Genomic DNA, 14,820 nt, shown 5'->3' on the forward strand with positions numbered 1-14,820 from the left:
GAGAATAATTTTAAAAGCCCCTAGAAGTGCTAACTAAATGTAATGTCGAACTGTCAACAACTGCTTTCAAAAAATAAATTACCTCTAAGACCATGTGTATTTTTTCACATCTTCTAGTCCCCCATTACCAATTAGTTAATACTCGCTTTGACAGAGGATGATGATTCTCAATAATCTAAGACTTCAGATGTAGTGTGAATAACTTTAATAATGCTCTTACAGGAGAAAATCTCTCATAAAGCCTCACTATATCAAATCCTAATTTAGAGAAATGTGGCAAGCTGCAAAGTGCTCTCAAGTTAATGTGTAAATGTTTATTGGATTCTCATTTCTTGTCAGGTTCATGTTTCACTTATGTATCTATCCTCTCTCAGGGACACATTTCCTGAAGGAATTTATATTGTTTTTATTGATCACCGTAGAAAATTAAAGTTATATTCAGCAAGAATAAAATATATCATTCTTGAATTGCTAAACACTTTGGGCTTTGATACCCATGAGAAACAGTTATCAGAAAATGAGGTCACATTTTTGTGTATCCGAAAGAAGTATTTATATGAAGATGTTGGGGAGGTGGGCAAGGGAATAATAAAAATTACATATTAGTCAAGTAAACAAGCTAAAGAACTTTCAGACTAAATAGGAAGACAACTATGTCTCAGGCAGCAAGCAAGAAAAATTTAACGTATAAAAGTGCCAAGATGATTCTAAGGTATTGCACTATAATCAGAATAAGATAGCTGTGTCAGAGTCAAATCTTAGCAAAACTCCAAGTTTATTATGTTTTCTCTTTGGAATACTCCTCCTCTACTTTCAGTGACACCTCTTTTATGCCAGCCTCTGACCCCAGCCCCAGGTCACTGAGAACACGGCACAACACCCGTATCTGCCTCTGTATTTTTTCCCTTTCCTTCATCTTCCTTCAGTCAAATATTATTAGTCCTGTAGTTCACTAATTCTACCATCTGTCATAGCAATGATGGTTTTTGATATAAAATGAAACTCTATTTATTTTATGATACATACCTGGCACCATGCCTGGAAAAACATGCATTTAAAAAATTCTTTCAATAATTTTCTCCCTACTCAGGAACAGCTGGTAAAATAATTTTATTAAACGTAAGTCAAATTATGTCATTTCTCTGCTCAAAACCCTCCAGTGGATTTCTATCTTACCCAGATTTGATCCTATAGTTCTGGCAATATTAAAATAATCAGCTGGGCATAGTGGTGCATGCCTGTGGTCCCGGCTACTCAGGGGGCCGAGGCTGGAGGATCACTTGAGCCCAGGAGATTAAATCCAGCTTGGGCAACATAGCAAGACCCCTCATCTCTCCATCTCTCTCTCTCTCTCTCTCTCTCTCTATATATATATATATATATAATATATATATACATTATATATATAATGTGTATATCTCTCTCTATATATATATTATATATATATACATTATATATATAATGTGTATATATATACATTATATATATGTGTATATATATACATTATATATATAATGTGTATATATATACATTATATATTATATATAATGTATATTTACACAAGACCCTACATAAGCACTTGTAAGATGAATTTTATCTTTCTACTTTGCTTTTGAAATGGGAAAGTTTCCCTGACTCCTTTGTGGGACTTGTAAAGGGGGTGGTTCATTTACTCAACTTGCAGCTCTCAACCCCTCGCAGGGTGGGGAGCATGCAGGTGAGCGGGTTCAGGGGCTGAGATGAATGCTCTGGGCACTGGCAGAAGCATAACTCCATGCAATCCTGCGGCAGCGTCTAGGGGGGTGCCCGTGACCCTCCAGAGCCCGAGAGGACATGTGCTAACAGTGCACTATTTTAGCTTCGCTGTCCATGGATGGCTTATGTGTTTAACAGCTCAGTGTGACAGCCCTCTGTATCCTGAGCCCTTGCTCAGAATCCAGGAAGAATCAGGTCACACGAATGAATTGAAGATGGTAAATGTGGGGGATTTTATTGCCAATGAAAGTGGTTTTCAGCACGACGGAGAGCTGAAAAGGAAATGGAATGGGAAGGTGGCAGGAGTTTGGCTGCCCCAACCAGACTCTCTCCGAGGTCCCACCATCAAGCTGTCCGTCTGAAGTCAAGCTGCTTCTCTCCAACGTCAAGCTGCTGCTTCTTTTCTGTCTTTCTTTGTCATTGCTCTGCCAGTGGGGCCTGGGGATTTTATTGATACAGGATGGTGGGCAGGGTGTGCCAGGCTGGTTTTGGAAAAGGCAACATTGGAGCAGGAAAACAGGGATGCAAAGTTTTCACTTTGGGCTGTGGGTCTAGGCTTGAGGGTGGGGCCCTCACTGGGGACCACACTCTTCTACCCAGCATTTCCCTGTCTTCTGTCTATATTACTTTTATTCTCTGACTGTACATCCTTTAGGCTCAAATCCAGCAACACTGGCTTCCCAGTTATTGGTCCTTAAAACTCTGGGACACCTCTAACTCAGAGCTTTCACATTTGCTCTTCCTTTTTCCTGGAATATTCTTCCTCAACTATTATGCATGGTTGAGGCCCTTACCTTCTTCAGGCATTTACTCTAACACTATCTTTTTAAAGAGCTCTTTTCTGGTCATGTTATCTAAAATTACTTTCCTCAGGTTTCCAATCTCTACTTTTTTCCCTCTTAGATCTTACTAGTATCCAGCATACTACGTTTTATGTATTTTTCTCATTTTTCTCTATCTTTACATGAGAATGTAGGTTGCATGAGGGCAGGGATTTTTCTTTCTGTTGTATACTCTTTCACCCTAAGTGCTTAAACAGTGCCTAGTGCATAGCATACAACTAATAAACTTGCCTACTGTAGGCAAGCGAATATAGCCCGTAAAACAGGCATAAAAGACTGGACTTTTACAAATGTTAAAGAAAGGAGGAACAGAGAATTTATCCAGATCCAGGAATGGCTTTCTAGTTTTTATGGCAAACCAGTGTAAGAGTTCTGTAATCACTGCGACTGTTTTAACACTGACTGCCTTGGAGGGAATTTTTTGTCAAGAGCATTTCATGTAACAGTTGGAGTTTCAGATGCCTTGCCAAATTTAAAAAAAAAATCATTTTCATTATTTCCCTCAAATCTCACAAATAGGGTGTGCTTTCCACTTCCAATAAAACTGGGGCTCAAATTTGTTTATGTCATTGAGATATTAAGAATTCATCTAAAGATCCAAACTGTAAGAGCTGAAGTCTTCACTCATGTCCTTAAAATAAGAAAAAGGCAGAAAAAAACTAACATTCAATGATTTTTCTTTGATATATCTAAAAACTGAGGTCATAGGACAATAACCACCCCCTACCCAAATCTGGAGAGACAGGCAAATCCAGAGAACCACAGCCAAGTTGAACTTACCTGGAGCAGAATCCAATGAGCCATAAAGTGCTGGGAACACTTAAATGGTAATTTTGACAAATTGCTGGAGGCTGAGTATAGAATAGTATGAGAATGAGAAATTTCTAGGATTCACTGTCTTAAGTCTCAAGGGGACCCCCACATTTTTTAAGGTTTTATTTCAAGGACACCCACTAGCTTCTCATGGTGAAGAGCCAAAAAGAGTAACCATTGTGAAATAGTCCCTCCACCTTCTCCATGACAAAGGCATGCTCTCCAAGATAAAATATTTTGCATGAAATACTTATTACATGTAGGAGAGGGCATTTCCTCTGAGTAACACCTTCACATTTGTGATTGTCACATCCCCAAAACTCCGACCAATTTAACGACTGAGGTTCAGTCATAATTTTATAGGATGCTTCACCAATCCTGCACCTTACAAAGAGGACTCCACAAACAGGTCTTACACAAACAGGACTCCAGTATAACAGTGGATGATAGCTGAAAAAGTTGTAAATTGTACATAAGAAGTTTAGTAAAAGCCAAAGGCAATAAGGGAGGCAAAAACAACAAACGAAGAAATTGAGACGTCTGACACCCACAGCTACAACAAATGTTAAACATAGCCACACTCAACAAGATTAACATAAAACTTCACCCTGAAGCCAAATTTATCTCAGTTACTATCATCTGATGCATCTTGTCTGCCTTTTAACATAAAAGGTATGCTATAATACAAAAGCTAACAGTTTTAAGAGAAAAAGCAAGCATCAAATCCAAACTCAGAAACAGCACAGATTTTGGAATTATCATACATGGAATTTAAAATAACTATAATTAATATATTAAGAACTCTAATAGAAAAAGTAGAAAACATGTAAGAACAGATAAGTAATATAAGCACAGAAAAGCAAACTCTAAGATATAATCTAAAGGAAATGCTAGAAATCAAACACACTGTAACAAAAAATAAAAAATGCCTTTGATTGGTTTATCAGAAAATGCTCCAGAACCAACTAAAGAATCAGTGAGCTTTAAGAAATGTTTATAGAAACTTCCAAAACAGAAATGCAAAGAGAAAAAAAAAAGAATGAAAATAATAAAAAGGAACAGAATATCTAAGAACTGTGAGATAATTTCAAAAGTCTAACATACATACAGTTGTAATACTGAAATGAGAAGAAAGAGAGGATGGAGCAGATGAAAGTCATTATGGTTGAAAGTATTCCAAAATTAATGACAGGCACCAAAGCATAGATCCAGGAAGTTTAGAGAGCATGAGGCAGAATAAATACAAAAAAGTCTCTACCTAGAAATACCAGATTCAAACTGTGTAAAACCTAAAAGAAATACTGAAAGAATCTGGGAGGTGGGAGAGGTGAAGTGGGACACCTTATCTATACTGAAACAATGATCAGAATTACAAGAGATTTCTGGTTAGGAATTATTCAAGCAAGAGGACAGCAAAGTATTGAAAGTATTGAAAGAAAAGAAAATCAACCTGGAATCCTATATTGAGCAAAAATCATCTCTGGAAAGTTAAAGAGAAATGAAACTCTCAAAAAACAAAAACTGAGTGAATTTATCACCAGCAGACCTGATCTACAAGAAGTGTTAAAAGAAGATATTTATTTGTCAATTATAAGTCAATAAAGCTGAAAAATAAATTTGAGACAGAAGAAAAATGCTATATAGATTAGAAACTTGGATCTCCATGAAGAAAGTAAAAGTAATGTTAACAGAAAATAAAGTTTAACAATGTATTTCTTTTTGTTTTTTTTCTGTTTGTTTTTTTATTTTTCCTCAAACTCCTGGGCTCAAGTGATCCTCCCACATTAGCCTCCTGTATTAGTCAGGATTCTATTAGAGGGACAGAACTAAATAATATATATATATATATATATATATATATATATATGTTTCTCTCTTTCACATTTTTCTTCCTAATTTATATTTGCTGGCAGCTGATTAGATAGTGCCCAACAGATTAGTGGTGGAAGGGTGGATCTGTCTTTCCCAGCCCAAGGACTCAAATGTTAATCTCTGCTGGCAACACCCTCACAGACACTCCCAAGATTAATACTTTGTATCCTTCAATCCAATCAGGTTGACACTCAGTATTAACCATCACACCTCCCTAGTAGCTTGGACTACAGGTGCACACCACCACAATCAGCTAATTTTTTTTTATTTTTTTTTTGTTAAGACGGGGTCTTGCTATGTTGCCTAGTTTGGTCTCAAACTCCTAGCTTCTACTAATTCTTTTCCCTTAACCTCCCAAAGCACTGTGATTACTGGTGTGAGCCACTGTACCTTGCCTTTCTTTTATTTTTAATTAATAATTGTTTTGGTAAAAATTAATAACAAAATCCCTGATTTTTTCGCTTCATAATTTTCCATCCACTGACCCCACCCTACCCCTTGCCTGTAAGTCTCCACCCCACACGTTCTTATAATCTTAACCAGTGTCATGAATGACATCTTTAACAGCCATCCATCTCCAGCTGGGAACCAAGCTCTCACCAGGAACGTGAATTGGCCGACACCTGGATCTGGAACTTCCCAGCTCCAAAGCTGTGAGAAATAAAAGTCTGTTGTTTAAACTTCCCAGTCTGTGGTATTTTCTTATGGTAGCCTGAACAGAATAAGACAGGGCACTAGCTATTTTAAAAATCACCAGGTGGTTCTAATATGTAGCCAGGATGGAGAAAGGCTGCTTTATTTTTTCTCATCGTGAAAATAATACAAAAGTCAAACAAAACAAGAAGTTATTCCTTGCTCCTTGCATCCTTATACTTTTTTTTTCCTTTTTTTTTCAGGCGGAGTCTCGCTCTATCCCCAGGCTGGAGTGCAGTGGCGCGATCTCGGCTCACTGCAAGCTCCGCCTCCCGGGTTCACTCTATTCTCCCGCCTCAGCCTCCCGAGTAGCTGGGACTACAGGCACCCGCCACCACGCCCGGCTAATTTTTTGTATTTTTAGTAGAGATGGGGTTTCTCCGTGTTAGCCAGGATGGTCTCGATCTCCTGACCTCGTGATCCGCCCGCCTCGGCCTCCCAAAGTGCTGGGATTACAGGCGTGAGCCACCGCGCCCGGCATCCTTACACATTTTTAATTGCCTTTCTCTTTCTGCCTTTCCTTTCCTCAAATATTTCTTGCTGTGTCTCCATTTTCTCACTTTCTACTCATCCCTTGATGAACTCCAACCTGACTTCTGTCACTTTTACTTTCACAAAAGTCTTAAATGTCCTCCACGACGCCACAGCAGAAATACTCCAGTTCTTCTATGTAACACTTCCCCCGTTTTCACACTCTTGGGCTAACCCTTTTCCGTTCCCTTGCTCATCTCTTCTGTTCTATTTTTTTCACTTCCATTTTTCTTTCTTTTATTTTCACTTATTATTTTGCTTTTTCATTTTCATAATTTCATAAAATCATAAAATACATTAAATGAAAATAATTCTCTTGGGACATACATAGTCTCACTGATCAGGAAAAAAAGTTAAGATTTTGTCATAAATACTTCCTGTTTTATTTTTAAATAAATATTAGAATTAAAGCTGAAGTTTACTTTGGTATCTAAAGGAAGACACTTTCCATTTTCTCATTCCCTAGAGACATTGTCTATCATAAATTTTACGTCAAATATTCAGCCTTACATTTCAAGTTCACATAAATAAGTGAACTTATTCAGGTGTGTGCGTGTATACACTTTGTGGTATTATTTGCCTACTTTAAAAGATTTTCAACGTATGAATAACAAGGCCTGACGCAGACCTTTCCCCTTTGCCTGAACTCATTCTGCCTCCAGCCCACTTTTATTCTTTTGTCCAATAATTGTTAGCTAAGTTTAGAAATGTTTGTCCCCTTAAACTAGCAAAACACAGGGAAAATGTTTCCTGTCCAGCCTACTGATGGAGACTTCTCCTACTTACAAAACAATTCCAAGTGTAAATCATCCAGTCTGTAACTTATCCTCTGTTTCTATAATTATCTAATATGGGACTGCTCAGCTGAGACACTCTGATCTTAGGACAAAGAGTGCTCTCTCCATTGCAGTAGCCTGAATAAAATCAATCTCCTTACTTGTCTGGGTTTTGTGGTTCACAGTATCATATTGAACATGGATTTCTCTGTCTATTATCAGTAAAGACAATTAGTATCATAAACAAATTCATACCATTTAAGCCTCAATGAAGTTATCAGGTATGTATTAATTTTTAAAAAAATTATTAAAAATTATTTCTAAGAATATTTAAGCATGAGACTATAACTCATTTGTATTACTCACCATGCTATTGATGAGTAATTAGATTATACTCACTTGTTTTGCTGACAGTGCTGCAATGCTCACTTGCAATTGTCTCCATATGCCTGTGTGTTAGTGTCTCCTAGTTTATACTAATTATAATAATAAAAATAATAGTACCAGATTTTGAGTGCTTTGCATTTGGTTAGTCATTTTATTCCTATAACATTTGTATAATACATGCTAGTATTATTTGTTTTGAAATTAGGAAACTAAGATAAAAGGTTACAGAATTTTTCCAAAGAGAAACACAATATTTTCAGTTACCAGTGTATATGTATCTTCAACTACGCTGTATAGCATCAATTGCTTTCCAAGGTGGCTGTTCCATTGTATTTTCACTATCAGTGTTTGAGAATGCCCATTTCTCCAAATCTTCATTATATATTATTGTTAGACTTTGGAATTTTAACCAGAGTGATGGGAAATAAATGAGATTTTATTGTTTCCATTTGATTTACTCGGGTTAATGGGGAATTTTTTCCCCATTCACTTTGTGTGTATGTGAATTGTTTACACTGTTCTTTGCCAAGTTTCTTATTTAGTTGTTTGCATTTTCCTCATTGATTTCTAGGCATTCTTTAAATATTCATAGCCGTTAATGCTTTGTGCAATAAATAGATTGTACTTATAATTTTGTTTTTATTTCTTTGTTTACACAGAAGGTTTTTACATTTGGATGTACCCAAATGAAGCATCGTTTTACTTTTTAAATTTTATATTTATGTCTTTCTTAAGAAAGTCATCTTTTCATATGTTGGCTATAGTGAATAAGGACGAAATAAACATGGAAGTGCAGATATCTCTTTAACTTACCAATTTTAATTCCTTTGGATATATACCCAGAGGTGGCATTGCTGGGTCATATGGTAATTGTATTTTTAGTTTTTAAAGAGAGAGCTGCACTCCAATGTTTATTTTAGCTTTATTCACAATATCCAAGATATGGAAGCAACCTAAGTGTCCATCAATGGATGAACAGATAAAGAAAATATGGCATAAACGCCCAATGGAATACTATACAGCCTTAAAAAGAGAAAAATTATCTCATTTGTGACAATATGGATGGCAAAACACAACAGTAGAGTAAGATATTTTAAGAGAGTAAAAGAGATAAAATTTACGTAACTTTTATTACAGTATATAGTTATATTGTTCTATTTTATTATTAGTTGTTAATCTCTTCCTGTGTCTAATTTACAAATTAAAATTTATATTAGGTGTATATGTATGGGAAAAAATCACAGCACATATAAGGTTCAGGACTATCTGCAATTTCAGGCATTGCCTGGGGGACTTTAAACCTATTCCCCACAGATAAGGTGGACTACTGTACAGGCAATCTATTGGAAAAACTCCAAAAAAGATCTTTCTTGATTTCATAGATAGATTCTTTGTTTTCACTTAGGTTGATGAAAATTCACATATTTTACACCTACCTCTTAGGTGTAAAAGAAAGACAGGATGTTTGATAAGAAAGACAAGATGTGTGGCAAACTGAGGGTCAACATAGGACTTCGTATATAAGATAAACAGTGTGCTTTTGTTCTCACAATTTTCTATCAAATAGCCACCAGATGGAGTGTTTGGGATTGCAGCAAAAGCTACTTATATTAATTAAGCTTCTATTATAATTACAAGGAGAAAAAAAGAGCAGACTTGGGTGCTAACCCACATAGTTTTGCCAGATAGAGTTGGAAGCAAAGCACAACTGGATTATCATGTTGTAATTTTATTTCCCACATACATTTTTCATCAGATTGAATATGCTTTATTTCATTCTTAATTTGCTATAATTTTAATTAAAAAATAAATATCTGGATATCGAATTTTTGATCTATTGAAATGCACATTTTTCCTTTATTCTGTTAATATGGCAAATTATAGTAATTTATTTTAAAATGGTAATGTAAACTGCTATTGCTGGAATAAACCTAGAATGATGCTGATGTTCCAATTTATAAATTTATTTTTTCTATTTAAAAAAGCTTAGATCCATCTTTTCAGCTCCAAGTTTAATTTATTGTTACTCAGGTTTAGAATTTCCTTTTGATATTTTTCATAGCATAGAATCTAGTGTATTTCTTTATCATATCATCTGATTTCTGGCATATGTCAGCCATATACATTTTAAGATCTGTGCCTGATAATTCTGATATCTGAACCTACTATGGATATGTTATATGGTCTGTTTTTTGCTCTGTTTTTAGTCCTGCAGTCTTATTTCCTGGTAAGATGTGTAATACTTGAATGCTGGACATTAAATATGAAAAACTGTCTGACGTCGTTTTATTCCTAAGAGGGAAGTAAATAGAGTTAAAGTGCTCTAAAATTCTTGCATTTTCTGAAAAATGCTAATAGAACTACATTATATTACATATATAACATATATATTACACATATATCATATATGTAATATAATATATACGTAATATATACTATATATGTAATATATGTAATATAATATATGTAATATACATAATATGTGTAATATATTTTTATATACATATATACATATATACCTATGTATATTATATATGCATATACATATATAATATATATTACATATATATTACATAATAAATCAAGGAGGTATGTTGCACTCTGTAGTGCAACCACTAAAAGAATAACAAAAGATTTAAAACTAACAAGCTAAAATAGAGACACAAAATCGAACATTACAAATATTTAAATTATTCAGAGTTATTTCTCTCCTTAATATAAGTGATATGCTAAGAAGGAAGCAAGAACTTTTCACCTAGTCTTGATAAAATTTTATGAAGAATACAATATTCTAGTTGTCTATGTTTCTAATATTTTAAATTTCAGTTTGTGAAATAAACTTTAATTTTTTTAAATTTTCCCATGCATTCATAACCGACAACATGAGAATTTTTAATGTTTTGTCAAAATGGCTAAAGGTGTCTGAACAATCAATTGTATATTCTCCTTTGGTTTTTAAGATCATTTTGCACAGTTTCAGCTTGCACAGTTGTTTTTACAGTCCTGCTCTACCATGCAGAATGAGGTCCAACCTGTATGAGCAAAACTTCTGTCTGTAAATGGAAGTGTCAGGGTAAATGGAAGGGTTAGGTTCTACATGCATGTGTCTGTCATTCATGTTTCATGAGGTATGAGGCATGGGAGCTAAGCATGTCCATTGTGTGAGTTCAGTTCAGCAATAAAACATATGTATCCCTGTTATTAAAGATTTTTCCCAAAATAAGCTAGTGACTTTATGAAATTAGTCAGTGTTATTAACCATGTTTTCAAAATAACAAGGTGGTATTGATAACAAGGTGACAATTTAGAAATATTTTAAGCCTAGGTAGCAAATTCCTGTAGAGATTTCAAATTCTAAACTCCAATTTAAAAATTTGGTGACAATATAAAAGTGTATTAATATAAAAAACCACAAAACAATGGCTTATAGTCATACATATAAAATAAACATTTCTAAAAGATTAGACTGGGCTACACTGGGGGAGAACTTCAGTGCTATCCTGAAAAATGTGTGCTTACTTGTGAAAAGCATACCAAAACTATTTGTGATACTACTTCTTGAAATATTCATAGCTTATACTTTCTAGAGCTTACTTTGTGTCAGGCACTACTCTAAGGTCTCCCTATGTATTAACTAATTTTATTCTCACATTTACCAGGTATTATTTTTACTCCCATATTACAGATGAGGAATCTAAGGCACAGAGAGACGAAGTAATTTGCCCAAATACATAACAATAAGAAAACAGCAACATGGAAATTTAAACCAAGGTTTTCTGGTGTAGTGTATGTTTTCTCTCTTTGTACAATATCATAGCATTACACACCATAAACTATGCTATGACACCATTACTCTTCTCTAGGAGATGATCCCACATCATTTTCAGAAGATGTTTTATAATTGGAGATTGTATGGTAAGTACAAGAAATTATGATAGTTGAAAAAATCTAGGTTTTATATGAGTTTAAGGATTATAATTTTTAAATTAAAACAAAATCAATTGATCTGGTAAGACAGATTTATTGTAATAATACCACAAGAAGAAAAAGAAAATTCCTAGTTTTTTAGTTCTAGCTTTTGTTCAGTAATTATACTGAAATAAAAATGTTAGAGGTTTAAATATTTTTCAATATGTGAATGAACACAATTACAATTCTTTTACTATGTTTTTACTTGTCTTATTTTGATTTACGTATTTTCTCCATTTTCTACTACTCATTCTTATTTCCCCTTATTTATCATTATTATTATTATTATTATTATTATTATTATTATTATTGAGATGGAAACTTGCTCTGTTACCCAGGCTGGTGTGCAGTGGCATGATCTTGGCCCCCTACAACCTCCACTTCCTAAGTTCAAGCAACTCTCCTGCTTCAGTCTCCTGAGTAGGTGGGATTACAGATGCACACCACCATGCCCAGCTAATTTTTGTATCTTTAGTAGAGACAGGGTTTCTCCATGTTGGCCAGGCTGGTCTTGAACTCCTGACCTCAAGTGATCCACCCGCCTCCACCTCCAAAAGTGCTGGGATTACAGGCATGAGCCACCATGCCAGGCCAGTCCTTTTATTTTCTTCTAGTTTCTAGCTTGAATGCCCATGATTGAAAATAAAATTCAAAAATAATTAAGGGAATTATTATATTAATTTTATTAGAGTCTGAGTCTACTTTTTGTCTATAATTTATTTGTTTTGTAGTTTTATCATGGGGATCAATGAGTATTCCCATTTTTATTCAGGAACCATGAAATATTCACATTTATTTTCTATTTACAATACTTATCAATGGCTCCGTGTAGTATTTCTGCACAGGTGGTAGCAATGTAGTCTACGAACTCAACAGGTAGCAAAAAAGTTATTTAACAGTAATTGTGAAAACTAGCCTATGTTTTTAAATTGTGAGACTAATAGATATCTTTCCTATATATCTTTTTATATGGTGCCCAGTCTCTTCAGTTATATAACTATGGATAGTGTTCTAATGAGAGAATGTAACCTGCATAAATCAAAACAAGATGTTATTTAAGAATAAATATAACTTATTATAAAATAGAAGAAATTCAAATAATCCAGGTAAACATGATGGTGGTCATTCTAGCATGGAACTTCTAGAGAGGAGTGAGTTCAAAAAAGACTTCAGCCATTCTACATATATTTTAAATTTTAAAACCTTAAAACACAAAGTATAAATAACAGATGCTAAATATGTTTGCATTGATACGTATTTTTAATGTTATTCCTTGGAAGTCATTTCGCTCCCTCTTTTGTAGTTTACTCCCTACCCAGGACTCATTAAAAAAACTTCTTAAATTTTATAGTCAGCGGTGGACATCTCTAGCAAGAAAGTTATCAGACTAAGCAGTTGGCTTTTATATTTATATAATTTTGTATTCCATATATCTACTTGTCAAGGATCTGTAATAAAGATATTGACTAGCAATGGATTCATTTAATTGATAAATGACCTGCTGGCTCATCTTGAAGATTTTTACTTCCCAGCCTACACACACACACACACACACACACACACACACACACACACACACACACATTCATTCTGTTTCTCTGAAGAACTTCGACTAATAGATGGTTTCACTTAATATTTAACTTTTATATTTTATAATACTGAATGCACTGGGATATGGGCATAACTTGCTGTCACAGGATTTCTTCTGACACATTATTTTTAATGTAGCTCTATAGCCAGGATGGAGCCTCTAAAATGTATCTTTCCCAAGCTACAAAGTACCAATTTACAGAGAGTGTGTGATATATGGGAACAATCATAACCATTACTGAAATGCAGATTAACATCAAAGAATAGAAAGTTATCTACCTTCTATCATCTAGTTTAGCAAAATGAAATTCAATTGTGCTTATTACCTTTAGGTTCAAAATCATATTGGATTAATGACTGATTTAAGCATTGACAAATTAGACAGATATAGAAATGTATTTAAGCAAAGTGAACAGTATTCCCCCTTAAAATTCAAATACGTTTATTTTTTAAAAGATGCTGGCTTGCCATCTATTTTCATTTGTTGAGGAAATATTAATGCTTCCTAATCTAAACAAGCATCATAGACATTTAATATGAAGAAATGAGATACACCCACTGCCTTTCAAAATTAGAAAAGATGAGGCTCTAGACAAAGACCCTGCTGCCTAGTCACACATTCTCTGATGAATGGGCAGTGTCATTCCTGGATTCTAATGTTAATGAGCCATTTATAGTTGCTTACTTGAACTAAGACTCAAAACAGGTCAAATTCTTCTAGACTATTTAGAAAGTTACCAAATTATGCAGTTATATGTTTGTTTGTTTTCATTTTACAACATTTTGATTTTTCAAAATATATTGTGTGAAAATAATGTTGTATGTCATATTTATACATATTTAAACAGTAACTAGGAAGATAACGTTTCCACTTTCACTTTAAATACCCCCTATTTTATTAGAGAGGTAGGGAAGAGAGAAAACTAATCTAGTGTAGCAGCCCAATATTGACAAGTTCCAAAATCACACACACACACATGCTGTTCTTTCTCTTCTTTTCATTATCTTATCTATGTCACTCCTCTTTTTTCCTCTTATTATAACGTTATTAGTTTTGTCGTGGAACAAATAGCCTTTGTGTCTTTTTTCTTTTTGGCCCAGAATTAGGTAATTTCATTTTTTATGTGTGCTCAAGTATTCATCCCCCTCAAGCAATTACTTCACAAGTGCTATGTCAGCACAAAGTAATTACATACTTTTACAGATTACTTGATAATTATTTCTGACATCACTAAGTACTTTCAAATATAAATGTGCAATGTTGCTAGAATTCAGGATGACAAACCATTTAAATAGGTATCTGAAAGAGAATAAACCCACATTGGAAAGCATTTGTATTCTATTTTCTTAATTTGCACGTGAAAAGGGAATAAGTGCATGTGTAGCTAATAGGATTTATTGAACATAAAATGATTGTTCACAAAAAGTAAGTGGCCTTGATTTTTCCAAAGAGCAATATTAACTGTAGATACAACTTTTTGAAATCACAGAATGTTATCTCATTTTCATTGATTGATTAATTTGAAAAATATTTATTGGATGTTTATCATTTCCCAGAAATAGTGCTAAATTCTGATGATACATTGGGGAAC

This window comes from Homo sapiens, chromosome 18, assembly GCF_000001405.40.
Source record: "Homo sapiens chromosome 18, GRCh38.p14 Primary Assembly".
Classification (NCBI taxonomy): Eukaryota; Metazoa; Chordata; class Mammalia; order Primates; family Hominidae; genus Homo; species Homo sapiens.